Raw genomic sequence first — 13,827 nt, forward strand, 5'->3', positions numbered from 1 at the left:
GGAGGTGGCGGCATTGCGTGCCAGTATCACAAGACCACACCAAGTTTCCTGGTATTAATCCTCTATTGGAAGGCATTTCCTGGTAGACTCTCATGCCAGACATATTTTAATAAGGAATTCTGTGACACTGCTTGCTCTGGGGGTTGCTCATTTTATCCTGTAGGTGGTTTTATTTTTGGGAGATGAACAGCAGAGGGAGGGATGCATTTTGCAGAGAATAAATCAGTCATTTGTGATCCAGTTCTGTTTATTACCACACAGACTAGTAGTTCCTGACAGCTACTGAGAGAAGACGTCAAAGAGTTCAATTCCAAAATTTCTTGGTTGCTACATCTAAGCATAGATTCCTTATACCAAACCCCATGACCTCCTTGAGGAGGAAATGAAAATACTTTTCTTCTTTTTTTTTTTTTTGAGAAGGAATCTTGCTCTGTCACCCAGGCTGGTGTGTGGTGGCACAATCTCGGCTCACTGCAAGCTCTGCCTCCTGGGTTCACGCCATTCTCTTGCCTCAGCCTCCTGAGTAGCTGGGACTACAGGTACCTGCCACCACGCCCAGCTAATTTTTTGTTTTTTTTTAGTAGAGTCGGGGTTTCACCATATTAGCCAGGATGGTCTCGATCTCCTGACCTCATGATCTGCCCGCCTTGGCCTCCCAGAGTGCTGGGATTACAGGCATGAGCCACTGCGCCTGGCCAGGAAAACACTTTTCTAAGTTAACATCCCTGGTATTTGGGTAGGTGAAAGACAATATGCAAAGCTGTCTTTGAAGCTACACTTTTCTAAGAGTAGGGATTGAACAGCATGAAAATACTGTGCCCTTTGGCCAGTTAAATTAAATCTGTTTTTATAGATGCTTTGCAGAGTAAAGGCAAAGGATCATTTACTCTCACATCCTCTTATGACCTGGAATGATGCCTTATGTGGAAACACAGGGCTCCCATGTCCTACTTAGGAGGCTAAGGAAATCCAAAGGGGGCACTTCCCATTTTAGATCCACATGATCCCAGGTTGTTCATCCAAAGATACATCCAGAAGGAGCAACAGCTTCCTATCTTTCACTTATGTGGATGTCCATATTGTTGCGGTATCTTTTCTGTTGCCTCTTCTATGTTTGTTAAGCAGATACTGATTTGTGATCCACTTCAAGTCCTCACCACTGTGCTGTCCTGCAAGAACCGTGCTGAAGAAAAGCTCATTTTCCCTAGGCTTCAGCTAACCATGCCTAAGGTCTGAGGACCTTTGGTCAAACATATTCAAGTCTCTTGAAAGGTGAGACTCAAGGATACAGACTTATGACTTCCTAAGGGCCCATCAGCCCTCAACGCTTTACCAGGTTGGGACCTTGTTTCCAAAGATGTTCATAGCTCCCTTCAAGTATAGATGGCAAGTTGTGCATGGACTGCCTGTTAAGTGAGAAACCAGAGCCTGGGCCATCCCTGGTGTCTTGGCCATTACCATTGCTAACAGCAGTGATAGTGAATAGTACCCAAAAGGGAATTGTAAGCAGTGGCCACACCTTCTACTAGGATGACTCAGATTTAGGACTCAAGAGGAGGCTCCTAACTTTCCTGCAACCACACATGGAGGGATTTTGTCTCAGCCAACCAGTACTGACTCCCCTTGGGACCCAAGTAAAGGACAATGAAAAGCAGCACTTCAATGTGAGAAGAGCGTGAGCTTTGGGGTCACAGAGCTCTGGGTTCAAATCCTGGTTCCATACTTACCTTGGGTAAGCCACTTGACCTGTTAGAGTTTCAGTATCCTCATTTGTAAAATGGGGGTGTTTAAACCTAAGCACTACTTCAGAGCAAACATCACCAACAACTGAAATAGTACAGCTAGACTCTGCTCCCAAATCCTCTTTGCTTCTTTCTCCAGAATCTCTCTCATCCCACAAATCATCCCTTGCAAGGACAGTCACAGCATGAAATTATTATTGCCACTTGACATGTATAATCATTTTTGTAGTGCTTCCACTTCTACTTCCACATTTAATTGTGTGATTGACAGGACTAGAAAGGTGAGCTTTTGGCTCCCAGTCCAGTTCCTTGTCCATCACCCCACACAGCAACACCACATTCTGTCCACACAGCCTCATTTTCCTTCAAGAGACTACATGGGACCCAAAAGCTCCCAAAGTCTGGATGTGATTCTAGGCAGCTTAGGTATGGAGGGCAGAGATGAGGCACACACACCTACAAAAAGAAAAATAGGATACTTGAAAATCACAAGAAGAGCTCTTGGCCGCTGTGCAATGCTCCAGCTGGGTGGTTCTCCACTCCAGGAGGACGTTCTGAAGCTGGGAAATGAGATCTGTGCTGTCTTAGGAGCCCACAGCACAGGGGAGGACATAAGGGTCTTCTTGAGGAGTTCAGCTGCATGCTTGTGGCCCAGGGCCCCAGTCATTTGTCTGATTAGCTTCCCCACCTCTTGAGAGAGTCACTGTGTTTTGTCTAAAAAGAAAGGAGATTTCCAAATGAGGACTCTCTGAGCAAAATATTGATTTTCAGCAGGTGTGGTTTTGAGACAGTTTGTACTGCATGCTCTCTCCAGCTCTCACTGTGCCTCGGACTCTATTGATTCTAGTTGGTTTTGATCCTGCCTTAGCATTCCAGGAAAGCAGAGCTCTCCTAGCCCAAGAAGAGAAAATGAAGGTGGAGTGGCTCATCGGGGTAACATCCCTCCACTACAGCCATCAACCACTCCAGGGATATGATGCCTCCCACTGCTGAGGACTCTGGCTAAGACACTGGTGTGATTTAGAGCCCTAGAGCATTGGTTTATCATCATATAGAGAACCACCCTCATCTTCTTTGGAGGAGGTGCCTCTCCACTGCATCCCAAGGTGGGAGTGACCTCTGGTAGTTCTGCTTGTTCATAGTCAGCTTAGTCATCTCTGTTGTAGAAAGAGAAAGAGAGAGAGGGCAAGAAAGGGAAAGACGGAGGGAGAGAGGAAGGAAGTGGGAAAGGAGGGAAGAAGATAAGGCAAGACAAAATAAGACAAAGCAAGAAAGAGAGAGAGCACGCGGGCCAGCACGCTTTTTCTCCATCCCCTTAGGAATTTACTCTCAGCAGGGGCTTGGCTTGGCTGGTTTTGCCAGTGACTCCCTTGCACTTTGCAGATTCTGAATATACATTTCCCTTAAGACTGGTTGTCTGCAGAATAGGGGAAACAAACCAGCACCCCCATAAATCAGCAGAGGTCACTGCCAAGAGCTTTGTACACTTGCTGTCCCTGGCAGTGATAAACTCATTGCATTTGGGAAATGGCCAAAGACCCTGAGTCCAATCTTAATTCTCATTCCCAGAAAAATCTCAGTTTTCTGTTCACCCACCCCCGTTTACTGTCTTTGTGTTTCCTAGACAAAGCTGGCAAGGAGGAAAGAACACAGTTCAATAACTGGATCATCAAAGGCTGCATTTCGTTGCTTGGGGGAGGAGTTGCAGGGCAGGAAAGAGTCACAGATCCCTAGGCTGTGGAAAAGAGAGGCCCAGGCCAGAGGGAGGCTGAAGCCATGGGGTCTGCATGGGGTGTGAGAGATCCGCAGAGGTTCTCAGATTCTGGTTTTCTCAGACCCGCACCTTGGATCTGCTATTACTGCTGTGGTCGGTTGTTCCCTTGAAGGGTGGTTCAGGCTGTTATAATGGTGGTCAAGGGCTAGCAGTGGGATTGGTGTGGTGAGACCACCTCATGGGACTCATGCTCCAGTAGGTTGTGTTCTTATTCTCTTATCTTTCTCCCCACACCATCCTCACCTTGGTATCTGGCTTTGGAGTTGGCCATATGACATGGAGAAGATGAGAGTGGTGTCCAAACTGCTCCTCTGACCCACATGGGCCTCCTGAGAGTGGACAACCTCTCTCTGCTGCCCTTTCCTCCTTGCCCCTTGATTGTCTTTCTCCTCTGATTGATCAGACTGTGAAGCTGCAAGACCAGACCCCCCCCTCCCTGCAATCCCACAGAATTAGGAGACATATTTCTGTCTCTCTACACAGATCTTTCCACTTTGATGAGGATCTTTCTGGTTGAGAGACCACCATTCCCCACTTGTAGCAGGATAGGTCATCCCCAGGTATACACATTCATACCCTGTGCCTGTACTTCATCTCTGCAGCCCTTAGCTGAATTGGCTAAATGCGTCTCTGTGCAAAGTCTATCTTGCCTAGTTGGATCTAAGCTTTATGACATTAGAGGCCGATTTGTCTTATTCAGGCTGTTATCTCAGCGTCTGACACAGTGCCCTGGCACCTAGTAAATGCTCAATAACTATTTGCTGAATATTATTTTGATTCAGTGTTTAGACATCTGCTTTATCCTGCTCTATTTTGATTGACAAGTTCTTTCTCTTCATGAACCAGGCTTTTCCCTCCTACAATGAGTCTATAAGAATTAGCTAGATCAGAGGGGAATTTGGTGCTGAGCCAGAAGAGCTGTCTAGGGGAGGTTTCCTCACTTCTTATGGGGCAGCAGAGGGGTATTGTGAGATATTGAGAAGTCAGAACAAGAAGCAGGGAACTGTTGCTTTGGAGAAGGGTCTGGAGAGGTTCCAGGCACTATGATAGGCTTTTCCAGATGACTCAGGAGCCACCTGGCTCTGTCAGCCAGAAAGAAGTGATGCCTGACACAAGGAGACAGTGTGTCATTTTTACTGTGGACTAACATTTGTACCTAAGCTTTAAATGTTAAAATAATTTGGCTGGGTGTGGTGGCTCATGGCTGTAATCCCAGCACTTTGGGAGGCCGAGGCGGGTGAATCACTTGAGGCCAGGGGTTTGAGACCAGCCTGGCCAACATGGTGAAACACCGTCTCTACTAAAAAATATATAAAAATTAGCCAGGCGTGGTGGTGCATGCTTGTAATCCCAGCTACTTGGGAGGCTGAGGCAGGAGGATTGCTTGAACCCGTGAGGTGGAGGTTGCAGTGAGCCAAGATCACACCACTGCACTCCAGCCTGGGCAACAGAGCGAAGACTCCATCTCAAAAAGAAAATGTTAGAACAATTTAAAGAGACAACAAATGAAACCAAAGACCAATGATACCCCTCAGCCTGGGCTCTGAGACCATTAGGGATGGCTGAGCCAAGATTTTCATGCTCCTCTGAGCTGAGTGTAATCCTCATTCTCCTTCTGTGCAGAGAGCAGGAACTTGATGCAGTCATAAACCCAAGCAAGTATGGAGCCAGTAAACTTGCTGAACATTAAATTCCAACCGGCATTTCAGTGAACATGTATATTCGACTAATATCTGAGCCTGTGCTAGACAGTATGCATCTGTAAAAATAAACACATACTGTTCCTCAAGGCACTTAAACAAGAGTGAGCTGGATTTTTGTCTGAAATTTTCAGAAAAACACTTAGTGAAGTGTGTTCACACTAAGTTTGTTAAATCAGAATACGTCTGGACTATCCAAGTAGTCTCAGAACCAGGCCACTATTGGAGGCTGGGCGCGGTGGCTCACGCCTGTAATCCCAGCACTTTGGGAGGCTGAAACAGGTGGATCACTTGAGGCCAGGAGTTCGAGACCAGCCTGGCCAACATGGGGAAACCCCGTATCCACTAAAAATAAAAAAATCAGCTGGGTGTGGTGGTGCATGCCTGTAGTCCCAGCTACTCATGAGGCTGAGGCACGAGAATCACTTGGAACCCGGGAGGCAGAAGTTGCAGTGAACTGAGGTCACACCACTGCACTGCAGCCTGAGTGACAGCAAGACTTTATCTCAAAAAAAAAAAAAAAAAAAAAAGAACCAAGTCAGTATTTAATTTCATTTGAGTCCTTCCAGTGGGTTTATTCCCATTAGTGGGGTAACTCCCCTGCTTTTGTAAATATGAGGGTATCTCAGGAAGAATAAGTCCCAAAACAAGATTCTTTGGGTTCCAACCAAAGATGAAACCAAGAGGGCCTCACATGTGACCAAGACATTTTCTGCTTTCTACTTTCACTTTCTTTTTGTTTATTTTTTAAATTGAGATGTAAAAGTTGTATGTATTTATGGTATATAGCATGCAATTTTGATATATGTATACATTGTGGAATGGATAAATCAAGCCATTTAACATATGCGTGGTCTCATACACTTATTGTTTGTAGTGAGAACACTTAAAATCTACTCTCAGCAATTTTCAAGTATATAATATATTGTTTTTAACTGCAGTCTGTAGTCACCGTAATGTTCAAGAGACCTCTTCAACTTATTCTTCCTCTCTAATTATGTGGTGTCCTTTGACCAATGTCTTCCCAGTCCTTCTCACTCCCCACAGCCCCTGGTAGAATGGCCATTCTGCTCTCTGCTTCTGTGAGTGTGATTGTCTTAGATTCCATATACAGGCACATCTCGTTTTATTGCACTTCCCTGTATTATGCCTTATAGATTCTGTGTTTTTTACAAATTGAAGGTTTGTGGCAACCCTGCATCAAACAAGTCTATCAGCACCATTTTTCCAATAGCATGTGCTTACTTTGTGTCTGTGTCACAGTTTGGTAATTCTTGCAACATTAAGCTTTTTTAGTATGATTATATGTTTATGGTGATCTGTGATTGGTGATCTTTGATGTTACTATTGTAATTGCTCTGGGGGTGCCCAACTGCACCCGTATAAGACAATGAACTTAATACATGTTGTGTGTGTGTGTTTTCTGACTCCTCTACCAAATCAGCCATTCCCCCATCTCTTTCCCTCTCCTTGGGCCTCTCTACTCCCTGAAATGACAACTATATTGAAATTGGGCCAATTAATAACTCTGCAGTGGTCTCTAAGTGTTCAGGCAAAAGGAACAGTCGCATGTCTCTAACTTTAAATCAAAAACTGGAAATGATTAAGCTTAGTGAGGAAGGCATGTTGAAAGCCAAGATAGGCTGAAAGCTAGGCCTCTTATGCCAAACAGCCTAGGTGTGAATACAAAGAAAAGTTTATTGAAGATTGAACATGCTACTCCAGTGAACACACAAAAGATAAGAAAGCAAAACAACCTTATTGCTGATATGGAGACAGTTTTAGTGGTCTGAATAGAAGATCAAATCAGACACAACATTCCCTTAAGCCAAAGCCTAATCCAGAGCAAGGACCTACCTTGCTTCAATTCTATGAAGGCTGAAAGAGGTGAGGAAGCTGCAGAAGAAAAGTTTGAAGCTAACAGAGGTTGGTTCATGTGGTTTACAAAAAGAAACCAAGTCCATAACATAAAAGGGCAAAGTGAAACAGCAAGTGCTGATATAGAAGCTGCAGCAAGTTATCCAGAAGATCTAGCTAAGATCATTGATGAAGGTGGCTACAGTAAACAACAGATTTGCAGTGTAGATTAAGCAGCCTTATATTGGAAGAAGATAAATCTAGGGTTTTCATAGCTAGAGAAGAGAAGTCCATGCCTGGCTTCAAAGCTTCAAAGGACAGGCTGACTCTCTTGCTAGGGCTAATGCAGCTGGTGACTATAAGTCGATGCCAATGCTCATTTACTATTCTGAAAATCCTAGGGCCTTCAAGAATGATGCTAAATATATTCTGCCTGTGTTCTATAAATGGACCAACAAAGTCTGGATGGCAGCACATCTGTTTGCGGCATGGTTTACTGAATACTTTAAGGCCACTGTTGAGACCTACTGTTGAGGAAAAAAATAATATTTCTTTCCAAATATTGCTGTTCATTGACAATGCACCAAGCCATCCAAGAGCTCTGATGGAGATGTACAAGGAGATTAATGTTGTTTTCATGACTGCTAACACAACATCCGTTCTGTAGCCTATGGATCAAGAAGTAATTTCAACTTTTCAAGTCCTATTATTTAAGAAATACATTTCATAAAGCTATAGCTGTCACAGACAGTGATTCCTCTGATGGATTTGGGCAAAGTAAATCAAAACCCTTCTAGAAAGGAGTCACCCTTCTGGTGGATGCCATTAAGAACATTTGTGTTTCGTGGAAAGAAGTAAAAATATCAACATTAATGGGAGTTTGGAAGAAGTTGATTCCAGCCCTCATGGATGACTTTGAGAAGTTCAAGATCCTAGTGAAGAAAGTAACTGCAGATGTGGTGGAAATAGCAAGAGAACTAGAATTAGAAATAGAGCTTGAAGATGTGACTGAATTGCTACAACTTCATAATAAAACTTTAATGAATGAGGAGTTGCTTCCTATGGAAGAGTAAAGAAAGTGGTTTCTTGAGATGGAATCTACTCCTAATGAAGATGTTGCAAACATTGTTGAGATGACACAAAGAATTTAGAATATTACATCAACTTAGTTGATAAAGCAGCAGCAGGATTTGACGGGATTGACTGCAATTTTGAAAGAAGTTCTACTGTAGGTAAAATGCTATCAAACACCATCACATGCTACAGAGAAATCTGTTGCGAAAGGAAGAGTCAATTGATGCGACAAACTTCATTGTCTTATTTTAAGAAATTGCCACAGTCACCTCGGCCTTCGGCAATCACCACCCTAATCAGTCAGTATCCAACAATGTCAAGACAAGACCCTCCCCCAGCAAAAGGATTATGACTCACCAAAGGCTCAGATGATCCTTAGCATTTTAACAATAAAGTATTTTTTAATTAAGGTATGTACCTTGTTTTTTCAGACATAATGTTATTGCACACATCATTGACTACATATAGTGTAAACATAACTTTTATGTGTACTGGGAAACGAAATATTTCTTATGACTTGCTTTATTGTGGTGGCCTGGAACCAAACCCACAATACCTCCAAGGTCTCCTTACATAAGTGAAGACAAGTGGTATTTTGTCTTTCTGTACCTGACTTATTTCACTTAACCTAATGTTCTCCAGGTTTGTTCATGTTATCACAAATGACAGGATTTCCTTCTTTGTTAAGACCAAATAGTATTCCATTATGCCTATATACTGCATTTCCTTTACCCATTTATCTATTCATTGATGGACTCATAGGTTGACTCCATATCTTGGCTACTGTGCTCTCCCTTTCTTTTGTGCTGGGTAAGGAGTGAGTCTTGGTGAATCCTTGTCATTGCTCTGTCTTTTTCTGGCCAGGCATCTCTAAAATGTGTCCCCCAGCTGATGGGAGGTCTGTGCCTCCTCCTTCGATCCCTTCCCTGGAAAGAGCACCAAGGAAGAGGTCCTTAATGACCAGTCCTGCCTCTCAGATGAGCACTCTCCTCCTCCCTGACCAGCTCTCCATCCCCCTCACCACTAGGGCCTTTGTCTGGCTTCATGAGAAGAACAATGAGCATACATGGGGGAAGATGCTTCCTCCACCAGGACAGCCATTAACTAACAAGCCCGCCCTCCCCAGTGAAGGCCAACCTCCCTCCTAACACATTCTCTCTTGGAACAGCCAAGCTTTCCTGTGCAGCTGAGCTGAATTCCACTTCAATGGATAAATAATCTTGCCCACTGACAAGTCCTCTTTTCTAAGGGACCAGGATTTTCCAACCCTTGATGAGGACAGATCTGTTTGGAAGGGACCACAAGATTCTAGGAATTAGCTGGAAATCAGGGGTGAAATTATTTGCCAAGGCCAGAATGTATAACAAATGCCCCTGGGAGCCGAGGAAAAGAGGCGGCACCTTGCTGCAGCACCTGCCCCTCCTGGGTGTTAGTTACATGTCCTGTGATGTGGTTGCCAAGAACTCCTTCCAGGACGAGGTGGTGGCCCTGAAATGCACAAACTGACCCAATTGCATTATTGCCTGTTTTTTTAAATTAAACTTTTTATTTTGAGATACGTATTGATTCTGATGCAGTTATAAGAAATACTGTGCTGTTTACCCAGTTTGCCCCAATGGCAACATCTTGCAAAACTATAGTACCATATCACAGCCATGATACTGACATGGCTACAATCCCCTGATTTTATTCATATTTCCCAGTTTTACTTGTGCCCCATGTATGTATGTGTGCATTTAGTTCTATACAACTTTATCACGTGTTAAGATGTGTCAAAATACAGAACCATTCTGTCACCACAAAGATCCTTCCTGTTGCCTTTTATAACCACACCTCCCTTGCTCCCTCTACTTCCTCATCTCTAACCCCAGGAACCACTAATCTGTTCTTTGTCTCTATAATTTGTCATTTCAAGAATGTTATGTAAATGAAATAATATAGTTTATAATCTGGAGCTTGGCTTTTTTACTCATCCTAATTCCCTTGAGATTCATCCAAGTTGTTGTTGGGTGTAAGAACAGTTTGTTCCTCCTCATTGCCATGTCTGGTTTTAATCATTAAGCACCCCAACATGGCACCCAAGCCCAATTACAAATCCCTCAGGACATGATCCTCAGGGAACTTTTATTCTAAGAGAGCCCATATGTTTTGTTTGGTGCTGCTGAGTTTGGGGGTGTGGGGATGGAACATGTTGCAAGTTTTTCTAGGTACATGCAAACATACCTAGGTTCCTTCATCTCCTTCCCCAAAACAGTGATCAATTGGATTGTAATATTCTTTAGCACTGGTTGACAGCCCTTCCTTGTGTCTCCTTGTCACCTTCCTCCCCAGGAGCACATCTACAAGCTGATGAAGAGTGACAGCTATGCCCGCTTCCTCCGGTCAAATGCTTACCAGGATTTGCTGCTGGCCAAGAAGAAGGTATCTTTGGGAAGGGCAGGCTTGCTCTTAGCACTGTTGACTCTTGCCTGCTGCTTGCTGCTGGTTTGAAATGAGAATATCATCCCTTGGGTTTTATTTATTTCCTACTTTCTTCTTTCCCTTCTCTATCTGCTCCCATTCTAATGGAAAACAGTTAGGATTGTCACCACCCCAGCCCCACTGCAAGGTCCAGGATGGGGCATCCTACCTCCACATCCCTACTGCCTCTCTCTGCATGTTCTGCCCATGGTGGGGGTGGGTACGTAGGGTGACAAAAGACTAAGGCCACAGTGGCTCAGCATAGGAGTGCAGGGCTGGCAGTAACACCAGCAAAACCCTTAGGACACTGGAGAGAGCCCCTCACTGCAAAGTCCAGCCCCTTCACCTCAGACTTCTCTCCCTGACCAGCCCAGAGAGGAGTATGAGGCCAGGGTTGGGGCAGCTCTCTCACTGGTCAGAAAGCCTTGTCAGTTTCAAGAGCACAATCAGGTACCTAAAGTCATCCTGGGGTTTCTCCCTCCTTGACACCCCCTTCCTCTCCCGCACCTGCCCCACGGTGTTGCCTTTCTCTCTTAACCAAGAAGTAACTGCACCCAGCTCCTTCCTCCTCCTCCTTAGAACTCAGCCATGGTTCCTTGCAGCCCATGGAGTCATGGATTTGAGGTGCAGGGGCCCTCAGCATGCAGGTGAGGGGTGACAGAAGCAGGAATAAATTCAGCTAGATTCCTGGGAAGAGAGGAGGAAGAGTAGGCAGGAGAATAGGGTCCAGGAAGGGAATGGAAGGCAAGAGAGAGGGCTCCTGGTTTCAGTACACCTGCCCACCCTCTGTGCTTTTCAGCTCTGATCTGAGGCCCATGTGTGGTTAAGTGTGGCTCAACTTGCACCAAACCCTATGACTTCTGTGCCATGGCACTTAGGGAGCACAGGCATCCCTTTCTCCTCCCTCCTGGACTCCCAGCCCCAGGCCCTAAGCACGTGGTTGCCCATCACATGCTCTCCGCTGGGCTGCCTCTCAGCCACGCAAGCCTTCTCTCTGTGTGCTGTCACCCTCATGTGCCAGGATCCTGTCTGCGTATCTGGTTGGGACCACACAACTCCAGAGTCCTGGAGAGCATTTATAACCTGCTCTCCTGCCCTTGTGTAGCCCTGGAAAGAGGCCATGGAGTCTGAGAAAGGAAAGAGGACTTCTGGGGTATCCCAGTTGTCAGCAGCTCTCTGGGTTTCCTGCATCCCTCCCCACAGGTGTGGCTACTGTGATGGGCAGTGTGGAGCCTGGCCTCCTGTCGATTCCCCTGCTGGAGGATGCCAATGGAGGGGCTCCTTTGGAGGAGGCCGACACCCTCATACATGGCTCTAATGCCCATTTTTTCTAAGAACTAGAGGAAAGAAAAATTATAGGAACTTTTGATAACTCCAGCCCAGATCTCATGGATGAAGGTCAAAGTAAGTTTTTCTTATTTTCTGTGGCTCAAGACCCCTGATCTGATCACAGTTTGGTGACTTTCTAAGGCTCTGGTAGTTTAACCAGTCTAGGCCTGTCTACACACCTAGAAGAAGAGAAGCTAGAGGCCATTGATTCTCCTTGTGGGTTTGAACACAAAGGAAAAATGCACCCCAAACCAGGCTGAGACCCCTGTGGCTGCAGATCCTCCCTTCCAAGAAGAAAACCTCTCAGAGGAGGTCACTTGAGTGAGGAAGGAACTGGCAACCTGCCTGGGAAAAGTTCCTTAGAGTTATCCTCCCAGCTCCCGAAGTAAGGGATGTTCTTGAGACAGAAAGCCCTTGCAGATACCAACAACGTCTCAATACTGAGGAGTTGTTTCCCAAAACAGTGACAAAACCTGCTTTCTCCTTCTGTTTCTTCCTGAGAGTCTCCAGGTATGGATCTGATTTGTAACTCGGCACTTTCAGGTAGGCCTAGAGTATTCTTCTGATTTCAGGGACGGGTTCACCGTATCCAGGTCATAAAAGGTATGTGAGATTCACAACCTCCGGCGGAGAGAGGGAATATGAATCAGCCTCACTTTTCTGCTGAGAACTGACCTGGACGGAGTCTTGAGGCACAGCCTTCTGATCCTTCATCCCTAATTCAGCCTCTTTTCTAATATTTTCCAAATAAATGATAGTCACACTGAAGAATCAGGTTCTCAGGGGGTAGGTGAGCTGAGTCCTGAGGGCTACTCTAGGAAACTTCAGTACCAGTGATGATGGTTTTCCAGGGCAGCTCAATGGCCAGTGCAAGGCAGAGGAGCCAAGTGAGCCAGACCAATGGCCACCCTCTGTGAGCCAGAGGATAAGAATAACAGGCCGACAATGCCAGCTGCAGGGCCCAGGACTGGCCTGACTTGAGCCAAGTGTATGCCACCCAGGCTGGCCACAGGGTTCAAGCTGAGTCCTGCCATCCCCAGAATAGAGACTTGGTATGGTACCCGGGGCCAAGCATGAGTCCTTCAGTTCCTAGTACAAGAAGAAAGGCCAGCCCAACTCTGTGGTGTTATGTCGTTTGTGTTGTATTTTCCTTCTGCAACCTCATATCTGTCTTCTGGCAGCCAGCTGAGCTGACAAGGGGCCTGGCTGCCAAGGAAGCCCCCCAACTTCATCCACACAGGCGGCTGCCTTTGGCCTGTCCCCTCTGCTTTCAGCACAGTCCGCAGACCCACAGACCTCAGGCTGCCTCTTTAGCTCCCTCATTTCAGTTATTTGCTGGGTGTATGTTTGTGTCTATGTGAGTGTGTGCACTCTCCGAACTTCTCAGCCTCGGGCTCAGGACCCTGGAACGGGATCCAGGATACACTAGCAGGTATTTGAGCGGTCATTCTACTCTCCCGGAACCCCTGCAGCTAGGAAATGTGGGGTGAAAGGAAAGTCAGGAGCACCCCACACCTCTCTTCCTCCTGTAGTAGAGGGAGGCTAGGCCTGGAAAGACATTCAAGGGCTTTGCCTCTCCTCGCTCCTGTTCTGGGAACCCCAGCTAAGAGTTCCCCACAATGGTTTCTGAGCTTCCTCTAGCCTGTCGTACGTACATCTTGGCAGGTGTTATGTCACCTTTTGGATACTGAGAAAACACACAATCCCCATGTTATTGTCTTCTGAGACCCAAGACCCTTTGTCCATGGCAAAGGCTATGAGTAGACCCTCCTTGCTCTAAGGACACAGAACGAGGGTCACTAGGAAGTCACTGAAGTTAGCAAACTTTCTGGCTGCCTCTGGGCAGGGGAATCTCAAGAGAGAAAACAGTCCTAAGGCAGACTCATGGATG

The 13,827-nt window shown here is 45.7% G+C and overlaps 1 protein-coding gene across 55 annotated transcripts in view; it reads left to right on the forward strand.

The window, feature by feature from the left end:
* The window catches only part of RGS6 (regulator of G protein signaling 6), a 762,695-nt gene that overhangs the window by 658,373 nt on the left and 90,495 nt on the right, over nucleotides 1–13,827 (forward strand). For 51 of the 55 annotated variants that reach the window (NR_135235.2, XM_024449761.2, NM_001370270.1 and 48 more), the window contains one exon: nucleotides 10,479–10,568. Coding sequence is in view for 54 of the 55 variants with exons in the window: in XM_024449761.2 (XP_024305529.1) it covers nucleotides 10,479–10,568 (90 nt within the window). In the remaining variant the exon portion in view is untranslated. Of the gene's footprint in view, nucleotides 1–1,125; nucleotides 1,237–10,478; nucleotides 10,569–11,810; nucleotides 12,705–13,827 lie in introns of those variants that run through there. The other 4 variants (XM_017021828.3, XM_047431990.1, XM_017021832.3 and 1 more) reach the window with 4 other exon arrangements.

This window comes from Homo sapiens, chromosome 14 (assembly GCF_000001405.40).
Source record: "Homo sapiens chromosome 14, GRCh38.p14 Primary Assembly".
Taxonomy (NCBI): Eukaryota; Metazoa; Chordata; class Mammalia; order Primates; family Hominidae; genus Homo; species Homo sapiens.